The sequence below is a fragment of the Homo sapiens genome, chromosome 16 (genome assembly GCF_000001405.40).
Source record: "Homo sapiens chromosome 16, GRCh38.p14 Primary Assembly".
Lineage (NCBI taxonomy): Eukaryota > Metazoa > Chordata > Mammalia > Primates > Hominidae > Homo > Homo sapiens.
The window spans coordinates 34,135,365-34,160,007 of NC_000016.10; the positions used below are offsets into that span (position 1 = coordinate 34,135,365).

Consider the following 24,643-nt stretch of genomic DNA (forward strand, 5'->3'; position numbering starts at 1 on the left):
TTTCCCGGGGTGGAGGTCTCCCCCTACACCACTGAAGAACGCGGGGGCGGGGGGGAGGTGTACGGTGTGGGGGGGCGGGGGAAGGGATGAGAGCCCTGCCCGGGCTGGTCCCAAACACTAGCCGGCTGCCCGCACACCCGCGCATGCTCAGTAGGCAGTCCATCTCTGAGTACCTGGGCAGGCTCGGAAATCCTTGGGATGCTGAGGAAAGAATGACAGCCCTCCTTTCTGTGGAGTCTCTCGCTGGACCTGGACTCAGTGATCCTAGACAGGTCAGCTGGAAGGGAAGACATAGGTCTCCATACCGAGCCAGAGGTTCACCGCGAAAGAGGGGCCACCGCCCTGCCCCCACCCAGTCCCAACCCCGCGTCCTAAAGCTCCTCCTGCAGAGCCTGGTGTTCTTCCTGGCTGAGGAGTGGTTCCAAAAAAGCCGGCTCTTCCACGTCCTTCAACTACCCCAGTGGCTCCGTTGCTTGGAAAGGTTGTGCCTTTTGCTGAAATTCTGGGGTCGACAGGAGCTCATATAACAGGGTGGATGCGAGTGCAGATGAAAGCTCCAACTCCTGGAGCGGTTGGGAGGGTGTCTGGATGGCTTACATCAGCTTCTGACACGCAGAGGCCTCCATGGGCGCGAGCTGCGGAGGTAGATGTGCCTCGGCTTCACGTTCCCATGCGCCCTGGCGACCTGGGGACCCTGGCCCCAGCCCCAATACGGACTCATGTGGGACGTGTGTGGCGCAAGCACAACTTGCCCCTGTGACTCAGTCTGAGCGGCTCAAGTTGTCCCACTGAGCACGCACCCAGAAGGCCGCCGTGCTGCGAGTCCTGGTCCCCCTGCCATCTGTTTGACTCAGCCTGAGCGGCCCAAACTGTCCCATTGAGCACAGCACCCAAGAAAGCCACCGTACTGCGGGTCCTGGTCCCCTGGTCTGTTCGGGTGCGGAGGTCACCCAGGTTCTGAGGGTGGGACAGCGCCACTTCCGAAAGAGCCAGGGCAGCAAACGCAAAATCCCCAAGTGCCGCGGCAGGTCGGGAGATTCTTTCTGCCTGCGAAGCCTGGCTGGGCTGCAGCAGAGGGGCCACCCTTGCTGTCTGGCTCACGAAAGCCCCCTGTTCCCCGCGCCCTGGCGTGGGTGAAGGCGCCCAAGGAGGGAGGGTGGCACCCGCGGTCGGCCGCGTTGCACAGGCCGCCTGCGTGCGCGGGTTCCCTGCCACCCTGGCCTGGATGCCTGGACCTTCGATTCTGACACGAAATCTGAATCCTGGACTCCAAAAGGCAGGTCTCTCTGGCCTGTTCGGGTACGGGTTCCGCTCAAAGCACGCTAGCAGGGAATCATTTTCGTTCACGTTACAAACCAGTCTCCTTCGCCCTCCTCGTCCTCGGGCTTCCGCGGGGAAGGGGCTGTCAGAAGGGGGTGGGAGAGCCATCGCGAGGGCACCTCGCTGGAATTTCACGGACACACACGGGCAGAGAGAGGCCGGCGGCTCCCGTGGGCCTCAGTTGGCCTCTGTGCTGCACGCACGCCAGTGGCCCTTATAAAAACCCACCAGCTTCACCCCTTCATGAATATGCATGAGCACCCAAGGGCCCTGGGTAACCCACCCTCCGAAGCCAGAAACCACAGACACAGGGCCTTGTGTGGTAGGCGAAGGTGGGGCCAGATCGGCCAGGAAAGGGGGGCTTTTGGGGCTGGCTCTCTGAGTTCTCCAGAATTCTACGGAAACTGGAAATTTCTCTCTGGGCTCACATACGATTTCAGGGAGAAACCACCCTGGAAGGGTGGAGTGTGGAACTGAACCTCCATGACAGTCTTGAGTTTTCCAGGCCCTCTCCGTGAAGGCGGCAATGCCTGTGGGTGTCGCCGTTGCCGTGATAGTCTCACACACGCAGGTGTGTGGATCTCATTCATTTTTTTATTTTTATTTTTATTTTTTATTTCTACCTCTTAAAGTCAATGATAAAGTCACAAGTGTAAAATGAATGCATTTAAAAACATAAAAGATACATTTCAATGACAAGAAATATGCAATGATCATGAAAATCTACTGTACACTTTGCCAAGGTCAAAGAATGAAAGACAATATGGAAAAGCCAATCTTCAAATATATCCTTAACAAAAACTCTCTCCTACATAGTAAAAGCATAATCTAAACAGCAGCTCCAACCGAGAAAAAAAAAAAAAAAAAAAAAAAAAAGCAGGGGAGATGGGACAGATAACTTTCCCCAGGTTTTCTAGACAAAAACATGTGGTCACCAGGAATTCAAGGTAACTTCAAAAGCCACATTTAATTCAAAATAAAATGAACATTTCTGACAGATGACAGCAGTATGATACTGATTTTTTTCTTTCATAGATACAAATGATATAGGGCATTGCTTAACAGTTTAGTAATCATCTAAGAATTAACTGTAGAAATAACCCCAATTCCACCATCCCAGCCACTGGTATAAAACAAATAACCTTCCATTGATACTGTCTTTCACATAACTAAAATATCCTCACTTACTTGGAACAATTTCATGCTTACACATGATCACAAACACTTATTTTTAGATGTTGTGGAATTATTGGAGCTGAGATTTTTGAAACAATATCTGAATCTTAGCAGAGAGCTAAAAATACTTTCACTATACATTGATTGGGCTTCCTTAACCAAATCTGAGCAACTACTGTAATAATAATGCTGGTGGTAATCCATGATACTCTCAAATTTTTCCCTTTAAGAAATATATAATGCATGTAATTCTAGCAAATATGTTACATTGCACACTTTCTTAACAAGGATTGGCTGTTTTCAGGCCTTATTAGGAAAACAAAGAAACAAACAATGGCAGTTACTATCTGTTTTTTATCACTGATAAGCTACAATAAAACTCAAATATGAGAGTTTAATTGTGTGATATTAAGTAAAAAATGAAAACCATTATAGTTTTACCAAAAGAAACATAAAAAATATGGGAAGAAGTCAAATGAGCATGGCATAAGTCCCAAAGTTACACTATGATTCTGAACAGGATTTTCCAAACAAAGGGTATCTACATAAAATTTCTGTGAATATTTCTTGTACTAGAAAGATCCAAAGCAAATGTAGGCTCAGCCCTACCTTGTCAAAGATAAATATTCAGATAAACTAGAAGTTCCATCTGCTAAAGTGCATCGGCTGACCAGGTCTACCATGGCCCTGCACTTACAGCCATCTAAGAAAGTGGCCTCACTCATGCTCATTCACTCGTTCTGTGGCCTATCAAGAGTCACACATAACAATGGTTTTGCTTTTTTAAAAAAACCAAATACTCTATACAGTGAACTACAGAAAAAACAATTCTAAATATACTTTTAAAATTCTAGAGAGTTAAGGTAACCTCATTTTTTAAAATACTGAAAATGTAAAGGGTCCATATAAAGGGTTGTATTAAGTACACAGTTCCTATTTTAATAATTCAATTGCTGTGCTCTTAAAATCTCTCTGAGAGAAGCAGATATTTTACTCATGTCTTTTGGCAAGGGATTCAAAAGCAAAAGTAGCAGGGCTGTAAAATTTCATAAAATTTGTGGGATTTTTAAAAGCTAAATTATTCAATATTTTGTATTGTTATTGCACTCATATATTGCCCAGAATATATATACAGCAACCCAGCAACAGTGATTGCAACAAAAGTAAGGTAAACAGGTCTACAAAGCATTTGATTTCCTTATTAGATAAATGAAGTTTTCATAGAGGAAGTGCAAATTCAGATCAGGTTACATAAGCTTAACAATTACTTAAACCTTACATAAAACTAAATCTAACCCTCACCACTACAAATCTGTAAGGAATCACTGTCAGGAATCTACAGGACTTGGCTCTTATTTACATTCGACGCACACTTAGAAATTTCATAAATGATGAGATGCAGGCCAAGGGGATTCCTCAAAGGGCTCCACCCAAAAGGAAAAGAAAGAGAGTTAAACAGAGAATTACCATTTACGTATGTGTGTGTAATCAGCTTATTCTTCAGCCTCTAGACAGTGAGGAGGATGAAGAAATGGAAGAAGATAACAAAGAAGAGGAAGAAAAAGATCACAGTGAAGCGATGAAGCCAGAGGAGCCACCTCAATATTTACTGACAGAAAAAATCATGAAGCTGCCCCTCCCTGAATCTTTAAAAGCTTACTTGACATATTTTAGAGACAAATAACTTAGATCAAAAAGAAAGAATGCCTACTGATAATTCCTTTAGTCTTGAAAATGTAGCATTTGTTAGGAATTAAAAGAATTATTTATTTCATCAGAGCAAATTATGGTGGAAAAAATACCACTTGTTACTGTCAGTAACATAAATGATGTATCGGGTGAATAAAAGAATCCTTTTTATAAAATCTATTTTTCTTTAAATCTTGGAAAATTGTTGTTTCACCTCAGAGTGATTTCAAAGTGGAATGTAACAGTAGTCAAGACTTGTGTACTATTTCTGATTCTCCCTTTTCTGATTCCTTACGGATCTCATTCATTTTCATGTAGAAAATGAGAGAGAAACTACAGAGAAAACAAACGCCTGGTGCATCACGTCCTGAGGATGGATTCCTGTTTCCTGCGACATGGGAAGTCTCCACTATGGCCTGTTTCCAAACAGGAAACTGGAAAGGAGAGCGAATACACGAAGCTGCTTTTCCACACTTCTCTGGAGGTTTCTGTGTCCCCACAGAGCTCGGGAAACAAACAGTCAACAGGGCCACGCTTTCGGGGGCCAGAGACGCATGAGCAACAGGCCCCCTTGCAGAAGGCAAAGGAACGTGGAACCCGAAACCACGCTTCAGTCGGCCTGAATGTGACTCCTGTGTGGACGGGACTATCCACCTCGCGCTCCGTTGCAGGCTCAACGTGGGGCTATCTCATCTGTGAACCATGTGGATGAAAAATGGACAATCACCCGAGTCTCGGCTCATTGCTCTCTGGGCAATTCGCTCATTCCTTGGGAGACGAAATTCGTCTGAATCGCTCCCGGATGAAGCAACCCAGGCTGGCGATCCGGAGGGCCGGTGAGAGCGCCGCAGGCCGACGCGGCTGTGGGCAGAGCACTCAGCCTGCACTGGGCACCCAACATTTTCCCGGAGTGGGAGATCCTGCTGGTCCTGGAGGCAGAAGACTGCTTTTCTCTCTGCCTTCCTCTCTCTGTTTCTTGCTCCCTCCCACCCTCTTTCCCTCCGTCCCTCCCTCAGTTCCTCCCTTCCTCCCTCCCTCCCTCCTTCCCTCTCTCCCTCCTTCTATCCCTCCATCCTTTCCAAGGTCCCACGGTCCATCCGTTATTTTCTCCCTCCATCGCTCCCTCCCTCTCTGTCTCCGTTCCTCTCCCCATCTCTGCCTGAGTTCCCTCCTGCGTAGAAAGGGCAGTACTCCGGCTTGCACGGGGTCTCGGGTCTGCATTTAGCTGTCAGGCGCTCCACGGCGATGCCGAGGAAGCTGGCGTGGCAAGAGTAGGCGAGTGACGGTGGGGCGGGGAGGCAGAGGGGGCGAGACGCAGAAAGAAGAGCAGGCCTGGCGTCTGCCCGGGCCAGTGTTTCCCGGGATGTAGGTCTCCGCCCGCCCCAAAGAAGAACGCGGCAGGGGGCAAGAGGGAAGGGATGAGAACTCCTCCTAGACTAGTTAGAAAACCTAGGCTACTGCCTGCTAACCCGCGCATGAGCAGTAGACAGTCCGCCTCCCAGTACCTGGACCGGCCCTGGGATCCCCGGGATGCTCAGGAAAGAATGATACCCCTCCTCTGAGTGGAGTCTCTCACGGGACCTGGAACTCAGGGATCCTAGGCAGATCAGCTGGAAGGGAAGACACGCCTCTCCATACCGAGTCAGAGGTTCACCGCGAAAGAGAGGCCGCCGCCCTGCCCCCACCCCGCCCCAACCCCGTGTCCTAAAGCTCCTCCAGCAGAGCCCGGTGTTCTTCCTGGCTGAGGAGTGGTTCCAACGGAGCGGGCTCTTCCACCTCCTTCAGCTTCCCCAGTGGCGCCGGATCTAGGAAAGATTGTGCCTTTTTCTGAAACTCTGGGGTTGGCAGGAGCTCATCTAACAGTCTGGGGGTGTGTGTAGACAAGCGCCCCGACTCCTGGAGCGGTTGGGAGGTGCCTGGATGGCTTGCATATGTGCTTGACGCGGAGGCCTCCGGGGTCGCGAGCTTCAGAGGTGGAGGTGCCCGGTCTTCGGTTTCCCACGCCGCCCTGGGGACCCGGGGCTCCAGCCCCACCGTGGACTCCGGTGGGACGTGGGTGGTGCAAACACACCTTGCCCCTGTGACTCAGCTTGAGGGGGCCCAAGCTGTCCCACTGAGCACGCGCCCAGCAGGCCGCCGTGCTGCGGGTCCTCTTCCTCCTGGCATTTGTTAGGGTGCGGAGGCCACCGAGGAGTCTGAGGGTGGGACAGTCCTACTTCCAGAGGAGCCAGGGCAGCGAACACAAAATCCCTGCGTGCAGGGGCAGGTTGAGAGATTCCTTCTGCCTGCGCAGCCTGGCTGGGCTGGAGCGGGGGGAAGGCCCTTGCTCCCTGGCTCACGAAAGCCCCATGTGGGAGAGCCCCAGGCATGCAGGGCGTATGGAGTGCAGGAAGCCCAGTTCCCCAAGCCCTGGTGTGGGTGAACTCGATTGAGGAGGGAGGAGGATGACACCCGCCCGGGGTGTTAATTAGTAACCACAGTGGCCTCAAAGAGCTCAAATGAAAGGAAGAATTGCATGTCTCTCACTTTAAGTCCAGAGCTAGAAATGATTAAGCTTACTGAAGATGTAAAATTTTCATCGCTAGAGAGACGTCAACACTTGGCTTCAAAACTTCAAAGGAAGGGCTGTCTGTCTTTGAGGACCACTGCAGTTGGTGACTTTAAGTTACAGCCAATGCTCATTGACCACTCTGAAAATCTCAGGGCCCTTAAGAATTATGCAAAATCTATTCTTGCTGTGCTCTAGAAATGGAAGATCACAATCTGAGTGACAACACATTTGTTAAGAGCACGGTTTACTGAATATTTTAATCCCACTATTGAGACCTACTGCTCAGAAAAAAACAAAAAAAGAAAAAACAAAAACGATTCCTTTATAGGGATTGCTGCTTGGCCAGGCACAGTGGCTCACACCGGGGAGTGGGGAACCGGGCTTCCCGCACCCCACACGCCCTGCATGCCTGGGGCTCTCCCACATGGGGCTTTCGTGAGCCAGGGAGCAAGGGCCTCTCCCCCTCTCCAGCCCAGCCAGGCTGCGCAGGCAGAAGGAATCTCTCAACCTGCCCCTGCACGCGGGGATTTTGTGTTCACTGTCCTGGCTCCTCTGGAAGTAGGACTGTCCCACCCTCAGACTCCTCGGTAGCCTCCACACCCTAACAAACGCCAGGAGGAAGAGGACCTGCAGCACGGTGGCCTATTTGGTGCATGCTCAGTGGGACAGCTTGGGCCCCCTCAAGCTGAGTCACAGGGGCAAGGTGTGTTTGCGCCACCCACGTCCCACCGGAGTCCGCGGTGGGGCTGGAGCCCCAGGTCGCCAGGGCAGCGTGGGAAACCGAAGACCGGGCACCTCCACCTCTGTAATCCTTGCACTTTGGGAGGCTGAGGTGGGTGGATTGCCTGAGGTCAGGAGTTGGAGACCAGCCTGGTGAAAATGATGAAACCCTGTCTCTAATAAAAATACAAAAAAATTAGCCGGCCAGGGTGGTGGTACCTGTAATTTCAGCTACTTGGGAGGCTGATGCAGAAGAATGGTTTGAACCCTGGAGGCAGAGGTTGCAGTGAGCCGAGACCATGACACTGCCCTCCAGCCTCGGCAACAAGAGGGAAACTACATAAAGGAAAAAAAAAGGAAAGAAAAGAAAAAAAGAAAAAAGATTGCTGCTTATTGACAATTCACCTAGCTACCCAGAAGCTTAGATGGAGATGTACTTGGAAATTAATGTTATTTTCATGACTGCTATTGCTAATACAACATATATCCTTCAGCCTGTGGATCAAGGAGTGGTTTTGACTTTAAAGTGTTTATATTAACTAATAAATGCATTTTATAAAGGTATAGCTGTCATAGATAGTAATTTCTTTGATGAATCTGGATAAACTGAATTGAATACCTTTTGGAAAGGTTTCACCATTAATCCCTTCATGATATTTCAACCTCCTCCCATGAATCACAAATGTCCTTAATAGCAAATGCCATTAAGGACGTTTGTGATTGATGGGAGGAGGTTGAAATATCAACATTAACAGGAGTTTGGAAGAAGTTGATTCCAGCCCTCATGGAAGACTTTGAGGGCTCAGGATGTCAGTGGAGGAAGTCCCTACAGATGTGGTAGAAATCGCAAGACAACCAGAATTAGAATTAGGGCCTTAAGACGAGATTAAATTGCTGTAAACTCATGATGAAACTTGAACAAGTGGGGAGTTTCTTCTTATGGATGAGCAAAGAAAATATTTTCTTGAGATGGAATCTACTCCAGGTGGAGATGCTATGAACTTTGTTGAAATAACAACAAAGGATTTAGAATATTCCATAAACCTAGTTGATAAAGCAGCAGCAGGGTTTGAGAGGGTTTACTCCAATTTTGAAGGAAGTTCTACTGTGGATAAAATGCTATCAAACAGCATCACATGCTACAGGGAAATGTTTTGTGAAAGGAACAAACTTCATTGTTTTAAGAAATTGACACAGGCACCCAACCTTCAGCAGCCCCCACACTGATCAGTCAGCAGCCATCAACATAGCGGCAAGACCCTCACTGTAGAGAAAAGAAAGAGAGATCTGACTGTTACTATGTCTATATAGAAAGGAAAAAACATAAGAGACTCCATTTTGAAAGACTTGTACTTTAACAATTGCTTTGCTGAGATGTTGTTAATTTGTAGCTTTGCCCCAGCCACTTGGCCCCAACCTGGAGCTCACAAAAACATGTGTTGTATGAAATCAAGGTTTAAGCGATCTAGGGCTGTGCAGGATGTGCCTTGTTAACAAAATGTTTACAAGCAGTATACTTGGTAAAAGTCATTGCCATTCTCTAATCTCAATAAATGAGGGGCATAATGCACTGCAGAAAGCCGCAGGGGCCTCTGCCCTTGAAGGCGGGGTATTGTCCAAGGTTTCTCCCCATAGGAGAGTCTGAAATATGGCCTCATGGGATGAGAAAGACCTGACTGTCCCCCAGCCCGACACCCATTCAGAGTCTGTGCTGAGGTGGATTAGTAAAAGAGGAAAGCCTCTTGCAGTTGAGATAGAGGAAGGCCACTGTCTACTGCCTGCCCCTGGGAACTGAATGTCTCAGTATAAAACCCGATTGTACATTTCTTCAATTCTGAGATAGGAGAAAAACCGCCCTATGGTGGGAGGCCAGACATGTTTGCAGTAATGCTGCTTTGTTATTCTTTACTCCACTGAGATGTTTGGGTGGAGAGAAACATAAATCTGGCTTACGTGCACGTCCAATCATAGTACCTTCCCTTGAACTTAATTATGACATAGATTCTTTTGCTCACATGTTTTTGCTGACCTTCTCCTTATTATCACTCTGCTCTCCTACTACATTCCTTTTTGCCGAAATAATGAAAACAATAACCAATAAAAACTAAGGGAACTCAGAGGCCGGTGCTGGTGCAGGTCCTTGGCACGCTAAGCGGCGGTCCCCTTGGCCTACCGTTGCTTCTCTATACTTTGTCTCTATGTCTTACTTGTTTTCTCAGTCTCTCGTCCCACCTCACTAGAAATACCCACAAGTGTGGAGGGGCAGACCACCCCTTCACTCACCAGCAAAAAGATTATGACTTGATGAGGCTCAGATATTCATTAGTATTTTTCAGCAATGAGGTATTTTAAGTTAAGGTATGTACATAGTTTTTTAGACATAATGCGATTACTAATTAATTAATTATTAATTATTAAATACTCATTAGACTACAACATAATTTAAACATAACTTTTATAAGCACTGGGAAACAAAATGTGTATGCAACTAACTCGATTGTAACATTTTCCTTATTGTGGTTGTCTGGAACCAAACCCACACTATCTCTGAGTATGCTTGTAGGTTTTTGGTTGTTCTTTGTTTTGAGATGGGGTTTCGCTCTGTCACCCAGGCCAGAGTGCAGTGGCATGATCATAGCTCACTGCAACCTCAAACTGCTGGGTCAAGTGATTGTTCTACCACAGCCTCCTGAGTAGCTGGGACTACAGGCATGCAGCACTATGCCTGGCTATATATATATATATATTTTTTTTTTTTTTTGAGACGGAGTCTCGCTCTTTCGCCCAGACCAGAGTGCAGTGGCGCTATCTCGGCTCGCTGCAATCTCCGCCTCCCGGGTTCACACCATCCTCCTGCCTCAGACTCCCGAGTAGCTGGTACTACAGGCGCCCACACCAGGCCTGGCTAATATTTTGTATTTTTAGTAGAGACGGGGTTTCACCGTGTTAGCCAGGATGGTCTCGATCTGCTGACCTCGTGATCTACCCGCCTCGGCCTCCCAAAGTGCTGGGATGACAGGCGTGAGCCACCGCACCTGGCCTGCCTTTTCTCTCTAGTGGCTCAAGGCCCATGGTGTGTGGTGCGCCTGATCTCCAATGCTTTTGAACAGTGTAGAAAGTGTTGCTGTCTGTATTTAATTTTTTCCTACATGTGTGGTCTCAATCGATCACAAGAAGATCAATAAGCCCTTCTCCTTATTCTACTTCCCTTTCTAGCAATGGAGAACTTTGATTGGATTTTTCCTGCCTACAGACAGGAATGAGTCTGCAGTTTTCTTTTTTAAACCCGAGGGGACTGTGCCTGAGGGTCTCGAGCGCGGCCACCCTCCCCCAACCCCCGACTGGCGACTGTGGTGGTGGTGGTGGTGGTTTTGTGTTCCAGCTTCTGTTCTGTTGTTGTTGTTGTTGGTGCTGCTGCTGCTGTTGCTGCTGCTGCTGGTGCTGTCGTCGTTGTTTTGGTATTTTACAGACTCAGGGGGTGTATGTGCTTGTTTGTTAGATCAGCATACTACTGCTTCCGGATGCAGAAGTGGACCTCCAGTGTATGCCTTACCCACGTGGCGAACGTTGTCTCTGACGGGCGATTTATTCATTCCTCGTCCCCCTCTTACCCTCCTCCTCCCCCTCTTACCCTCCTCCTCCCTTTTGGAGTGTCTGTTATTTCCATCTTGATGACCGTGCGCGTACCCATTATTTACCTCCCACTTGTAAGCAGAAGGCAGTTCACTCGGTACATACTTGCTTCCAGCTCTATCCATGTTGTGGGAAAAGACGTGAAATCACTCTTTTTTGTGCCTGCACCATTGGATAATTTTAACTTTTTTCTCTTCTTTTCTTTTCTTTTCTTTTCTTTCCTCCTCCTCCTCCTTCTTTTTTTCATTTTTTTCAGCTGGGCTCTCCTACTTGTGTTGCTCAGTTGCTCAGGCTGGTCTCAAACTCCTGGACTTGACACTTCTTCCGTCACATCAACCGCCTGGTTGTTGAAATGAGCATCTCTTGTAAAATTGAAAAGATGAAAAAAATAAAGAGAAAGACAAAAAGCACGGGGTGAAGGTTTCTCTTGCCGCCTCCCAGGGTGTACCTTGGACCCGATAGGTGGGAGGGAACTTGGCTGGGTGGGTTTTCGGTGCTAAATCCTCCCGAGGGTCTCCTTCCCTCTCCCCCCTGTCCCCGCTTCTCCACCAGCCAAGGCTCCCACCGCCGCTGTGGGATTTTCCGTGGGAGAAGTATGGGAGAGGACTGACGCAGCTTCCAGATCTATATCCTGCCAGACGTCTCTGGCTCAGCGTCCCCCACCGGCTGCCTGCCACCTTCCAAGGAGCTCTGAAGCCGATGCCCCGCCCCCTTCACGTCCCGCCACCCTCCCCTGGCTGGGCTACGCCCGGCGACCCCAAGGGAGCCGCGTTGAGGCTTTCTTTTTTTTTCTTGTTTTATTTTATTATTATTATAGTTTAAGTTTTAGGGTACATGTGCACAAAGTGCAGGTTTGTTACATATGTATACATGTGCCATGTTGTTGTGCTGCACCCATTAACTCGTCATTTAGCATTAGGTATATCTCCTAATGCTATCCCTCCCCCCTCCCCCCACCCCACAACAGTCCCCGGTGTGTGAAGTTCCCCTTCCTGTGTCCATGTGTTCTCATTGTTCAATTCCCACCTATGAGTGAGAACACGTGGTGTTTGTTCTTTTGTCCTTGTGATAGTTTGCTGAGGATGATGGTTTCCAGTTTCACCCATGTCCCTACAAAGTACATGAACTCATCATTTTTTATGGCTGCATAGTATTCCAAGGTGTCAAATCCTCCAGCAAAAACTTCCACCAGATGCCCCGGGTGGGCCGGATGGATGGGACGAGACTGGACCACCCCGGACCATGCTGTTCTTGGGGGTGGGTTGACGTACAGGGTGGACTGGCAGCCCCAGCATTGTAAAGGGTGCCCAGGTATGGAAATGTCACATAGGATGCCCTCCTTCCCGTCAGCCTGCCTTCAGCTTCCTCAGGCATGAAGACAACTTCCCATCAGAACCTCTTTTCTTCCCTTTCTCCACCACACAGATGAGACGCATGAGAGGGAGAAACATCTCAATAGATACTGCTGACCTTCATTTGTGGAATCCTCAGTCATCTACAGACAGAGAGGTGACTAGACAGGGACCCAAATCAAACTCCATTTCCGGGTCCTCATGGTGGGATTGGTCTCTCTCTCTCTGTCTCTCTCTCACACACACACACACACACACACACACACACAATTTCCACATCTAGTTCACAAACCACACTAATTTACCCTTTTCACAGTATGCAGTCTGAGTAAAACCCACCCCACCCTCCACCCGGCGGCTGACGAAACCCCTTCTCTACAATTTATTAAAAAGATTATCTGGGCCGGGCACAGTGGCTCACACCTGTCATTCCAACACTTTGAGAGGCCAAGGCGGGTGGATCGCTTGAGGCCAGGAGTTCAAAACCAGGCTGGCCAACATGGCGAAACCCCATCTCTATGAAAAATTAGCCAGGCCTGGTGGCCTAGGCTTGTAATCTCAACTACTTAGGAGACTGAGGTGGGCGGATTGCTTGAACCAGGGAGGCTGAGGTTGCAGTGAGCTGAGATCATGCCATGGCAATTATTGAGACAGAGCGAGACTCTCTCAATAATCATAATATTATTATAAGATTAGTTGTGCGTGCTGATACCCGACTGTAGTCGCAGCTACTCGTGAGGCTGAGATAAGGAGAAGATCACTTGAGGCCCCACAGGTCAAGGCTTCAGTCAGCTGTGACCCACTGTATCCTGGGCAGTCACCAGTCAAGGAGATATGCCCCTCCCCGTTTTCTTTCTTTTCTTTTCTTCTCTTTTCTTCTTTTTTCTTCTCTCTTCTTCTCCCATTATTTCTTTCTTTCTCTCTTTCTTTCTTTCTTTCTTTCTTTCTTTCTTTCTTTCCTGCCTCACTGCCTTCCTGCCTTTCTTCTTTCCTCCCTTTCTCCCTTCCTTCTTTCCTCCCGCCTCGGCCTCCCAAAGTGCTGGGATTACTGGCGTGAGGCACCATGCCTGCTTGGCCTAAAGGGACGCCCTTTGAAAGTAAGACACAGACAGCGCTTTCCAGTGATCTGATTGATTGATTGACTGATTTAGAGACAACGTCTCACTCTGTCACCCTGGCAGTGGTGCCATCATAACTCACTCACTGCAGCGTGGACGCTTCTGGACTCAAGCGATCCTTCCACATCAGCCTCCAGAGTAGAGTACCTGGGACCACAGGCACGTGCCATTGTGCCCAGATATTTTTATTTACTTATTTATTTTTTTCCCCGAGACAGAGTTTCGCTCTTGTTGCCCAGACTGGAGTGCAATGGCGCAATCTTGGCCCACCACAACCTCTGCCTCCCGGGTTCAAGCTATTGTCCTGCGTCAGCCTCCTGAGTAGCTGGGATTGCAGGCATGCGCCACCACGTCTGGCTGATTTTGTATTGTTAGTAGAGAAGGGGCTTCTCCATGTTGGTCAGGCTGGTCTCGAACTCCCGACCTCAGGTGATCCGCCCTCCTCGGCCTCCCAAATTGCTGGGATGGCAGGGGTGAGCCACTGCGCCTGGCCTTCATTTTTAAATGTTTTTCCACAGAGAGGGTCTCATCATTTTGTTGCAACCTTCCTGACCCGGCATCTCAAAGTGCTGGCGTGCAGGGCTTGAGCCACTGAGGCTTGACTCCGGGGAATGATTCACGACCACGACTGCTGTAGTCTTTCTTTCTTTCTTTCTCTTTCTTTCTTTCTTTCTTTCTTTCTTTCTTTCTTTCTTCCTTCCTTCCTTTCTTTCTTTCTTTCTCTCTTCTTTCATTTATTGATGAAATTTTTTATTATTGATTGATTTTGAGACGGAGTCTCACTCTGGTTGAGGCGAGGCGAGGCGAGGCGCATCGCTTTGGAAGCCGCAGCGCTGCCTTCTAAAGCCCCATTCAAATGCACAAAGCCCTATTCCCTTCCTGGAGTTGGAGCTGATGCCTTCCATTGCCTTGGGCTTCTCTCCATTCAGAAGATTTTACATGCGCAACCCCACCCAGAGGCTGGCTGCGGCTGAGGATTAGGGGGTGTGGTGGGGCTGGAAACTCGGTCCCCCATTGTTGCAAGCTCAGCCAAGACATCCCCCGACCCCCATCGCTTGCTCACCCTTTGAGATCCCCTACCTCCACTGCCTTGGAGGCTGAACTCTTACTTTAATTTCTGTCTTTCTTCCTTTCCTGCGTTTGAGGAGGGGGTGCAGGAATGAAGGTGTGTGTGGGGAGGGAGTGCGTGGTGGGGACGGAGGGGAGCGTCCTAAGGGTCGATTTAGTGTCTTGCCTCTTTCACCGCCACCACCGAAGATGAAAGCAACAATCAGCTAAATACCGCATGTTCTCATCCCTAAGTGGGAACTTATAGATGAGAGTTCTGCATGGGCAGAACGAGGGGGACGAGAGACGCGGGAGCCTACTTGAGGGAGGAGGGGTGGAAGGACAGACAGCTTCAGGAGAAACCAAAACAAAACAAAACATGAAAACTGTCGAGTACTGCTCTGAGTGTCTGGGTGATGAAATCATCTGCACACTGAACCCCCGTCAGAAGTTTACCTATGTAACGATCTTGCACATGTATGTTTGAACAAGAAATGAAAGTTAGGGGAGAAAGAGAGAGAAAAGGAGAGAAAGAGGGAGAGAGGGAAAGAGAGAGAGAGAGAACTGAAACGAAACACCACCTCCTTGACCTGAGTCAAGGTGTTTCTGGCCTTTCGGGGGAACATTCAGCAACAATGCAGTACTTGGGCCTGTTCTTTTTTTTTCTTCTTTTCTTTTTTTTGGACTGAGTCTCTCTCGCTCTTTCACCCAGGCTGCGGTGCAGTGGCGCTCTCTCGGCTCACTGAAACCTCTGCTTCCCGGGTTCCAGTGATTCTTCTTCGGTAGCTGGGATTACAGGCGCGCATGACGATAGCCGGCTAATTTTTCTATTTTTAGTAGAGACGGGGTTTCTCCATGTTGGCCACGTTGGTATTGTACTCCTGACCTCAAGTGATCCACTCTCCTGGGCCTCCAAGTGCTGGGACGACAGGCCTGAGCCGCGGGGATTTCAGCCTTTAAAAGCGCGGGCCCTGACACTTTTCGCTGCGACCCTTATGCTCAGAATGACGTGTCCTGTCTGCCATAGGTTGACTCGTTGAGTCCCCTATGCCATTGCACTCTAGCCTGGGCAGCAAGAACGAAACTCCGTCCCCCCACCTTCCCGTGCAAATTAATAAATAAATAAAATCTCTACACATGACCTATAAGTGTGTGTTCCCATGAGTGATTTCTAAGAAATGGCACTGTACACTGAAGGCAGTGGCCCACGTCTGTCATCCCAGCACTTTGGGAGGCCGCGGTGGGTGGGTCACGAGGTCAGGAGTTCAAGACCAGCGTAGCCAACATGGTGAAACCGACTCAGTTTCGTATTTTCAATCTCTACTGAAAATACAAAACTGAGTCGGGAGCGGTGGGGCAGACACCTGTAATCCCAGCTACTCGGGAGGTTGAGGCAGGAGAATAGCTTGAACCTGGGAGGCAGAGGTTTCAGTGACCCGGGATGGCTCCACTGCACTATAGCTTGGTCGACAGAGTGAGGCTTGGTCGACAGAGTGAGACTTGGTCTCCAAATAAATAAATGAAAGGAAGAAAGAAAGAAAGAAAGAAAGAAAGAAAGAAAGAAAGAAAGAAAGAAAGAAAGAAAGAGAAAAGAAAAGAAGAAAGGAAAAAAGAAAAGAAAAGAAAAAGAAAAAAAAGAAAAAAAAGAAAAGAAAAGAAAAGAAAAGAAAAGAAAAGAAAAGAAAAGAAAAGACCAGAAAAGAAAGATAAAATGAAAGAGAAGGCACTGTATCGCTACTGGGCTAGGACTTTCTCTCTTTCTGTCTGTTTCTCTCTGTCTCTGTCTGTCCATCTCTGTCTTTATCTGTCTCTTTCTCTGTCTGCCTGTCTGTCTGTCTCTTTCTTTCTCTCTCTCTCTGCCTGTCTCACGGTGTCTGTCTTCTGTCTAACTCTCTTTCTCTGCCTGTCTCTCTCTCTCTCCCTCCCTCTCTGTTTCTCTCTCTCTGTCTCTCTCTTTCTGTCTGTTTCTCTCTGTCTCTCTCTGTCTCTGTTTCTCTCTGTCTCTCTCTGTTTTTCTCTGTCTCTCTATTTCTTTTTCTGAGTCTCTCTGTCTGTCTCTCTCGCTGTCTCTCTCTGTCTGTGCCTATTTCTGTCTTACTCTCTTTCTCTACCCGTCTGTCTCTCTCTGTCTGTCCCTCTCCCTCTCTTTCTGTCTCTCTCTCTCTCTCACTCTCTGTCTGTCTCTCTTTCTGTCTGTTTCTCTCTGTCTCTCTCTCTCCATGTCTGTCTCTCTTTCTTTCTCTCTACCTCTGTCTGTCTCTCTCTGCCTGTCTCTCTCACTGTGTCTGTCTTCTGTCTTACTGTCTTTCTCTGCCTGTCTCTCTCTCTCTCCCTCCCTGCCTTTCTGTTTCTCTCTCTCTCTCTTTGTATGTTTCTCTCTGTCTGTCTCTGTCTGTCTCTTCCTCTGTCTGTCTGTCTCTCTCTTTCTTATTTTTTTTTTTTTTTTTCAGATGGAATCTCGCTGTGTCGCCCAGGCTGGAGTGCAGTGGCGCCATCTTGGCTCACTGCAAGCTCCACCTCCCAGGTTCACGCCATTCTCCTGCCTCAGCCTCCCGAGTAGCTGGGACTATAGGCGCCCACCACCACGCCTGGCTAATTTTTCGTATTTTTAGTAGAGACGGGATTTCACCATGTTAGCCAGGATGGTCTCGATCTCCTGACCTCGTGATCCGCCCGCCTTGGCCTCCCAAAGTGCTGGGATGACAGGAGTGAGCCACCACGCCCAGACTGTCTCTCTCTCTCTTTCTCTCTCTCTCTCTTTCTCTCTCTCTCTTTCTCTCTCTCTCTCTCTCTGTGCCTATCTTCTGTCTTACTCTCTTTCTCTGCCTGTCTGTCTCTCTCTCTCTATCTGTCTCTCTCCCTCCCTGTCTGTTTCTCTCACTCTGTCTCTCTCGCTCTCTCTCTCTCTCTCGCTATTTCTCTCTGTCCGTCTCTGTCTTTTTCTCCATCTCTCTCTTTCTTTCTCTCTGTCTCTGTCTCTCTCTCCCTCTGCCTGTCTCTCTCACTGTGTCTGTCTTCAGTCTTACTCTCTTTCTCTGCCTGTCTGTCTCTCTCTCCCCATCTCTTTCTGTTTCTCTCTCTCTCTCTATCTCTCACTCTCTCCGTCTCTCTCTCTTTCTGTTTCTGTCTCTCTCTGTCTCTTTGTGTCTGTCTGTTTCTCTCTCTTTTTCTGTCTCTCTCTCTTTCTGTTTGTTTCTCTCTGTCTGTCTCTGTCTGTCTCTCTCTCTCTGTCTCTCTCCCTCCCTGTCTGTTTCTCTCTCTCTCTCTGTCTCTGTCTCTCTCTCTTTCTGTCTGTTTCTCTCCGTCTCTCTCTGTCCATCTCTGTCTTTCTATGTCTGTCTCTTTCTCTGTCAGTCTGTCAGACCCCCCGTGCCGGGGAGGGTCCTGCCCCTTCCACGAAAGTGAGAAGCGCCTGCTTAGAGAGGCCGAGAGGAATCTAGACAGATGAGACTTGCTAGGCTTCGCCACTCGGCGTATGATTTCGGGAGGTCGAGGCCGGGTCCCCACTTGGATGGAAGGGGCATTTTCAAGCTTTTCTCTCTGTTACGTGTGGCGTCCCTACTTCTCATATTTCCCTGATCAGCTCCTTGACTTAAAAATACACGGTTAAGGCCAGGCTCGGTGACTCACGTCTGTCATCCCAGCACTTTGGGAGGCCGAGGCGGGTGGATCACCTGAGATTGGGAGTTCGAGACCAGCCTTGCCAACACGGCGAAACCCCGTCTCTACTAAAAATACTAAATTGAGTCGGGCGCGGGGGGGCAGGCGCCTGTAATGCCAGCTACTCGAGAGGCTGAGGAGGGAGCATCACTTGAACCTGGGAGGCGGAGGCTGCAGTGAGCCGAGATCACGCCACTGCACTACCGCCCCGGCTGTAGAGTGAGTGAGACTCTGTCTCTAAATAAATAAATAAATAAATACATACATACATACATACATACATTCTTTTCCCTGCTGACTGACACTTGCAGGCATCGGTTGTCTTCGGGCATCACCTAGCGGTCACTGTTATTGAAAGTCGAGGTGACACGGGAGGGAGGTCTCGCCGACTTCACGGAGCCTGGGGCAACCGATTTCTCCCTCTCCCTTCTGGAGGCCCCTCCCTCTCTCCCTCGTTGCCTAGGGAACCTCCGCCCTGGCGGGGGCCCTATCGTTCTTTGATCAGCGCTTTAGTTTTCTTTGTGTGTTGGTTTCTTTCATGCGCATAGACTCTTCTACTTGGGTTTTAGGAGGGGTCAGTTTAATTTTCAAGTCGCCCCCCGGCTCCCCCCACTACCCACGTCCCTTTACCTTCGTTTAGTGAGTCAGTTAGGTGGGTTCCCCACAAACCCCCTACCCCCCGCCTCCCAACACCCTGCTTGAAAACCTTCCGGAGCCAACCCGGTGTGCCTCCGTCTTCTCTCCCCTTCCCCCACCCCTTGTCGGCGATCTCATTCTTGCCAGGCTGACATTTGCAACGGTGGGCGTCAGGCCTTACTCAGTGGCCACCGTTTTTGAAGATGGGGGTGGCACGGTCCCACTTCCCCAGAGGCAGCTTGGGCCGATGGCATAGCCCTTGACCCGCGTCGGCAAGCGGGCGGGTCTGCAGTTGTGGGTTTTTTACCCCGCTTCCTTCCTCAGGCCTCCCTCCCTAGGAAACCTTCACCCCGGCTGGGTTTCAATCACCTTTTATCATGATGTTTTAGTTTCTCCGCCCTCCGGCCAGCATAGTTTCACAATAGGAATGACGTCACAGCTCTAGTCTGGGCCTTCTTAGTATTTGTCCAAAATAGAAACGCTTTCTGAAAACTAATACTTTGCTCACTTAAGATTTCCAGGGACAGTGCCTTGGCCCGTGTTTGTTGGCTTGTTTTGTTTCGTTCGTGTTTTTCCTTTTTCTTATGTATTTCTTTTTAGATGAAGTAGAAATCCCCAGTTTTCAGGAAGACGTATATTTTCCCCAAGACATGTAAGCTGCGGTTTTCTCCTGTTGTTTACTAACGATTTTGTGAATCTCTGAACGTATAGTGAGAGCCGGTTGATGTTTACTACTCTTCAGAACATCTTATGTTCTAGAAATCCGTAAGTGAATGCTGCTGCTGCTCTTGCTGCTGCTGCTGCTCTTGTTGCTGTTGTTGTTGTTGTTTTCAAAGCACACCTCGGCCACCGTTTATGGGATCAAAAGCGTTATAAAATATGTGTAATTATTTCCTGAGCACGCCCTTCCTCCTCCTCTCTCTGTCTCTCTTTCTCCGTCTTCTCTCTCTCTCTGTCTCTCTCTGCCTATTTCTCTCTCTCTCTGTCTGTCTCTCTCACTGTGTCTGTCTTCTGTCTTACTCCCTTTCTCTGCCTGTGTGTGTGTCTCTCTCTCCGCCTGTCTGTCTCTCTCTCTCTGTCTCTTTCTCTCTGTCTCTGTCTCTCTCTCTTTCTGTTTATCTCTGTCCGTCTCTGTCTTTCTCTGTCTGTCTCTCTGTCTCTCTCTCTTTCTTTCTCTCTGTCTCCCTGTCTCTGTGTGTCTCTCTCTCTGCCTGTCTCTCTCACTGTGTCTGTCTTCTGTCTTACTCTCTTTCTCTGCCGGTCTCTCTCTCTCTCTCTCTCTCTGTCTCTCTCTCTTTGTTTCTCTCTGTCTCTCTCTGTCCATCTCTGTCTTTCTCTGTGTGTCTCTTTGTCTGCCTGTCTGTATTTCTGTTTCTCTGTCTCGCTGTCTCTGTCTCTCTCTCTGCCTGTCTGTCTGTAGGTCTCTCTCTCCCTGTGTGTCTGTTTTTTTTCTCTCTTTCTCTTTGCCTGTCTGTTTCTCTGTCTCTGTCTCTCTGTCTGTCTCTCTCTGCCTGTCTCTCTCTGTGTCTGTCTTCTGTCTTACTGTCTTTCTCTGCCTGTCTGTCTCTCTCTCTCCTTGTCTGTTTCTCTCTCTCTCTCTGTCTCTGTTTCTGTCTGTCTATCTCTGTCTCTTTCTCTCTCTGTCTCTTTCTCTCTGTCTGTCTCTCTCTCTGTCTCTCTCTTTCTCTCTGTCTGTCCATCTGTCTCTCTGTGTGTGTGTGTGTGTCTGCCTTCTGTCTTACTCTCTTTCTCTGACTGTCTGCCTGTCTGTCTCTGTCTGTCTCTCTTTCTGTTTCTCTCTGTCTCTGTCCATCTCTGTCTTTCTCTGTCTGTGTCTTTATCTGTCTGTCTCTCTCTCTCTTTCTGTCTTTCTCTCTTTGTGTATCTTTGTGTCTCTCTGTCTGTCTCTCTCTGTCTCTGTCTTTGTCTCTCTCTCTCTCTCTCTCTCTCTCTCTCTCGCCTTCTCTCTGGCTCTCGCTATCTCCCACCCTCTCTTTCTTTGCAAAATAAGTTCAAGTACGTCTAATCTAATCCATTACCACGGCCTGAATTCTTAACTTTAGACATCCCAGATTTGATCTCCCTACAGAATGCTGTACAGAACTGGCGAGTTGATTTCTGGACTTGGATTCCTCATAGATACTACATATTAATAAAGATCCAACCCTAAAATCTGGGGTTGCGTCTCCCTCGACTGTCTCAAAAAATCATACCTCTGTTCACCTAGGATGCTGGGAAGGTTTTCTCAATGTGCATCTGCTCGTGTCCTACATGAACTGTGACCGAGCCCTGTCCGTTCTGTCTCAAATATGTATCTGCAAACACGTCTCTCCATTTCCACAACTACCCATGGCCCATTGTGGAACCATTGGCTCTTTGAAAAAAAATCCCAGAAGTGGCTTTGACTTTTTGGCTAGGAGGCCTAAATCTGCTGAGAACTTTCCTGCCCAGGATTCTGTGTGAACAAAATTGCCTCTGCTGGGAGCTGGGATCCTCGGGACCATGCTTGCTAGCGCTGGATGAATCTCTGGAAGGACGCACGGAACTCCGCAAAGCTGACCTGTCCCACCGAGGTCAAATGGATACCTCTGATTTGGTCCGAGGCTTCCAACTTACATCACCATCACCAACCGTCGCCATCAGGATCCTTGTGAACCTGCCCAAGGCCCCGACTCCGGGGAGACTCTTGGGAGCCCAGTCTTCGTCGGCTAAAGTACAAAGGGTTGGCAACTTCCACCCACAAGGTCCCCACTGAACTGCTAAGATGTGGAGCGTAGGTCAGAGAGGGGACCAGGAGGGGAGACGTCCTGACAGGCGATGAGTTAACTAGGCTCTGGCCACTCTACTCATGTCCCACGTCCCGGGCACCCATGGGACACCGCCGCTTTATCCCCTTCTCTGTCCACAGCCGCCCCCACCCCACCCCGCAACCCATGCACACACGCTGGAGGTTACAAAACCAGACGGTGTGAATAGAGCCTGATGGAGCGAGAGCTCATTTCACGAGGCAGGGGGTGGGGTGGGGTGGGGGTTGGGGTGTCTGTAGAGAGCCGGATTCTCCCTCGTGGGTGGCTACAGGATACAAATGAATATGGCTTCTTGGGCAGAGGGGCTTCCTTAGGCCATCACGTTTGCAAGACTATCTCTCAAAACCTCCCTTGAGGCCACAAAATAGATTCCACCCCACCCCTCGACGTTTCCCCGGATGCCGGATGTATCCTGTCAAGAGACCTGAGCCTGACACGTTGAGTGAAACAACTTTATTGGCTTCGTGTGTTTGTTTCTGAGATTGAGTCTTGCTCTGTCCCCCACCCCAGCTGGAGTGCAGTGGCATGATCTCAGCTCACTGCAACCTCTGCCTCCTGAGTTCCAGTGATTCTCCTGTCTCAGCGCCACCACGCCTGGCTCATTTTTTTATTTTTAGTAGACACAGGGTTTGACCCTGTTTCATTGGTTTTCACTGGAGATTCTAGATTCAAGTCACACCTCATTGTGTGCCACATAATGACTTCTTTTTTTTTCTTTTTTTTTTTAAGCACAATATATCTGCTTTATTTGAGTGGCTTTATATATCGTTATAATTGTGTTATAGATGAAGAAAAGATATTAACACAGTGCTAATGATAGTGAAAGTGAAAAACAAAAGAAAGGCTATCTATTTTGTAGTTAGAATAAAGTTGCTCAGTATTTAGAGTTTCCTAAATACGTCAGCATTTAAACTCCTCCTAGTAAAAGCTTGCCAATCTCAATAATCCTCCTTTAAACACAATTTTTGATATGGTTAAGGTTTTTAAGAATGCAACTCCTGCAGAATAGCTGAACAGACAATACACATTTAAAAAAGAACAACACAAGGATCAACCAGACTTGGGAAAAAATCAAAAACAACACAAGTCTTATGAAAAACTGAGTTCTTAAAATATTACGGAGAACATAGCTATCGGAAGAGAAGGCAGTATTGGTAAGTTGATTGTTACATTTTTCAGCAAAAGCTAGCACTATTTTTTTTGGCAATCTTTCAGGCACTGCAACTACTACTGCAAAATGAGATATAATCCATTAAACAACATATTCACAAATCAAAAAATGTTTTAGTAATATAATGCTTCAGATTTAAAAGCAAATCAAGTGTTAAAACTCAACTGCTATAATAATTAACCCCAAAGATAACCGTATCTGACAAAAAAGCTTCCACAGTTATGACTTCAGAATTATACTTTCTCTTGATATTTATTTATTTATTTATTTATTTTATTTTTTTCTTGAGACGGCGTCTCGCTCTGTCGCCCAGGCTGGTGTGCAATGGCATAATCTTGGCTCACTGCAACCTCCACTTCCTGGGTTCAATGACTGTGGCTCGCGCCTCTCTGGAAACATTGGAAATCTCTCTTCTACGCGCGGCCAACTGAAACCACAGGAGCTCGGAACACAAGCCACCATCCACCTCACTGCTTTCGGGAGAGAATGATGAGTCTCTTACCGACTCTCTCTTGAGAGAGTCCTCCGCGGTGGGGACCGAGGGCGGCTCGTCACCTACTGTGTGGCCCGCGCCTCCCCCTTCCGAGTCGGGGGAGGATCCCGCCGGGCCGGGCCGGCGTCCTAGCGGTTGGGAGGCTGCGCGAGCGGTGGCTGTGCCAGGCGTTCCGTCCGGCGCGTGACCCGCTCCGCTGCGAGCCGGCTCTCCACCCGCTCCCCTGAGGAGCAGCGACCGGTGCCGACAACCGCGTTTGCGTGGCACGGGGTTGGGATGCCTGGCCATGGGAAGCATCCCAAGTGGGGGGCGCGCCGGTCTCCCGGAGCTTGACAGTGTCGGAGGATGGACAAGAAACCAGCAACGTGGCCCTGGCGTTGGGTTTGTGGCTGAGGTCGCTTCGGGGTCCCGATGGCGGGACCCAGGCTCGTGAGGCGGGTCTCGGTGGGTGCCAGGGGCCGTCCGGCTTCCTAGGCGGGGCGCCGCGGGACCTCCCTCGTATCTGTGGCGGTGGGATCCCGTGGCCGTGTTTTCCTGGTGGCCCGGCTTTGCCTGAGGTTTCTTCCCGAGCCGCCCCTCTGCGGGCTCCCGGGTGCCCTTGCCCTTGCGGTCCCTGGCCTTGCCTGTCTGTGCCCCCCTCCCCGCCCGCGTATCCTCTCTCCCCGAGCGGCTCACCAGCTTAGGCTGTGGTGGCCCCCTCTGGGACCAAACCCGGCTCCGCCTTGTGTGGCGCTGCCACGGGCCACTGGTTGGCCGGTTGTCCCTGTCCCCGGGCGCGCGCCTTCCGGACCAGGTCGGCGGCGCTCCGCATGGGCCTGGTGAGAGCCCGGAGGGTATGGGGTCGGCGTGCAGCGCGCGCAGGGAAGAGGGTTCCGGGGGCTGGCCGCGATGGCGGAGGCGGTGGGGGAGCCGCGGGGCCGCCTTCATGCTTGGAGGCCGCTGGCGGTGAGATCCCGGGCACCGCGGTCCGCCTCTGGTTCGCTGCCCAAACGTCTGGGCTGCCCCGCGCCCGCCACGCCCGAGTGGCCGCCGGTCCCTCGCAGCTGCCGTGCACGGGTCGGGCGGTCTGCCTGTTCGCACGTGGGCGCGAAGGTTCGGGAGTGGTGAGCCCATCGGGGGGTGTTCTGTAGTGTGGGTGTATGGGATGTCCGGTTCGCCGCCCCACCACCCCCCTCCCACCGCCCCGCGCTGCTCCCTCCCTCCCACAAGCCGGGTCGCCCGCCCTGCCGCGCCCATCCTCGCGACTGGGACGCCGGGCTCATCCTCGCGA

General features: G+C 49.6%; 1 long non-coding RNA gene and 4 pseudogenes across 1 annotated transcript, besides 1 other annotated feature; 2 read left to right on the forward strand and 3 right to left on the reverse strand.

The window, feature by feature from the left end:
• Nucleotides 375-1,517, reverse strand: DUX4L45 (double homeobox 4 like 45 (pseudogene); annotated as a pseudogene).
• On the forward strand, nt 3,822-4,377 carry PCMTD1P2 (protein-L-isoaspartate (D-aspartate) O-methyltransferase domain containing 1 pseudogene 2; annotated as a pseudogene).
• A 1,326-nt stretch (nt 4,378-5,703) lies between these two features.
• Nucleotides 5,704-6,646, reverse strand: DUX4L46 (double homeobox 4 like 46 (pseudogene); annotated as a pseudogene).
• DUX4L47 (double homeobox 4 like 47 (pseudogene)) lies at nt 7,092-7,485 on the forward strand (annotated as a pseudogene).
• Nucleotides 10,463-10,698: a silencer, noted in NCBI's record as "fragment chr16:33948294-33948529 (GRCh37/hg19 assembly coordinates)". NCBI's record gives its function as "represses an EF-1alpha promoter that drives an FKBP-Casp9 reporter gene in an ReSE screen in K562 erythroleukemia cells {active_cell/tissue: K562}" and the evidence as "EXISTENCE:reporter gene assay evidence [ECO:0000049][PMID:32094911]".
• LINC00273 (long intergenic non-protein coding RNA 273) lies at nt 23,221-24,609 on the reverse strand. Its single transcript, XR_004837543.1, has one exon. It is a non-coding gene; the product is annotated as a long intergenic non-protein coding RNA 273 (long non-coding RNA).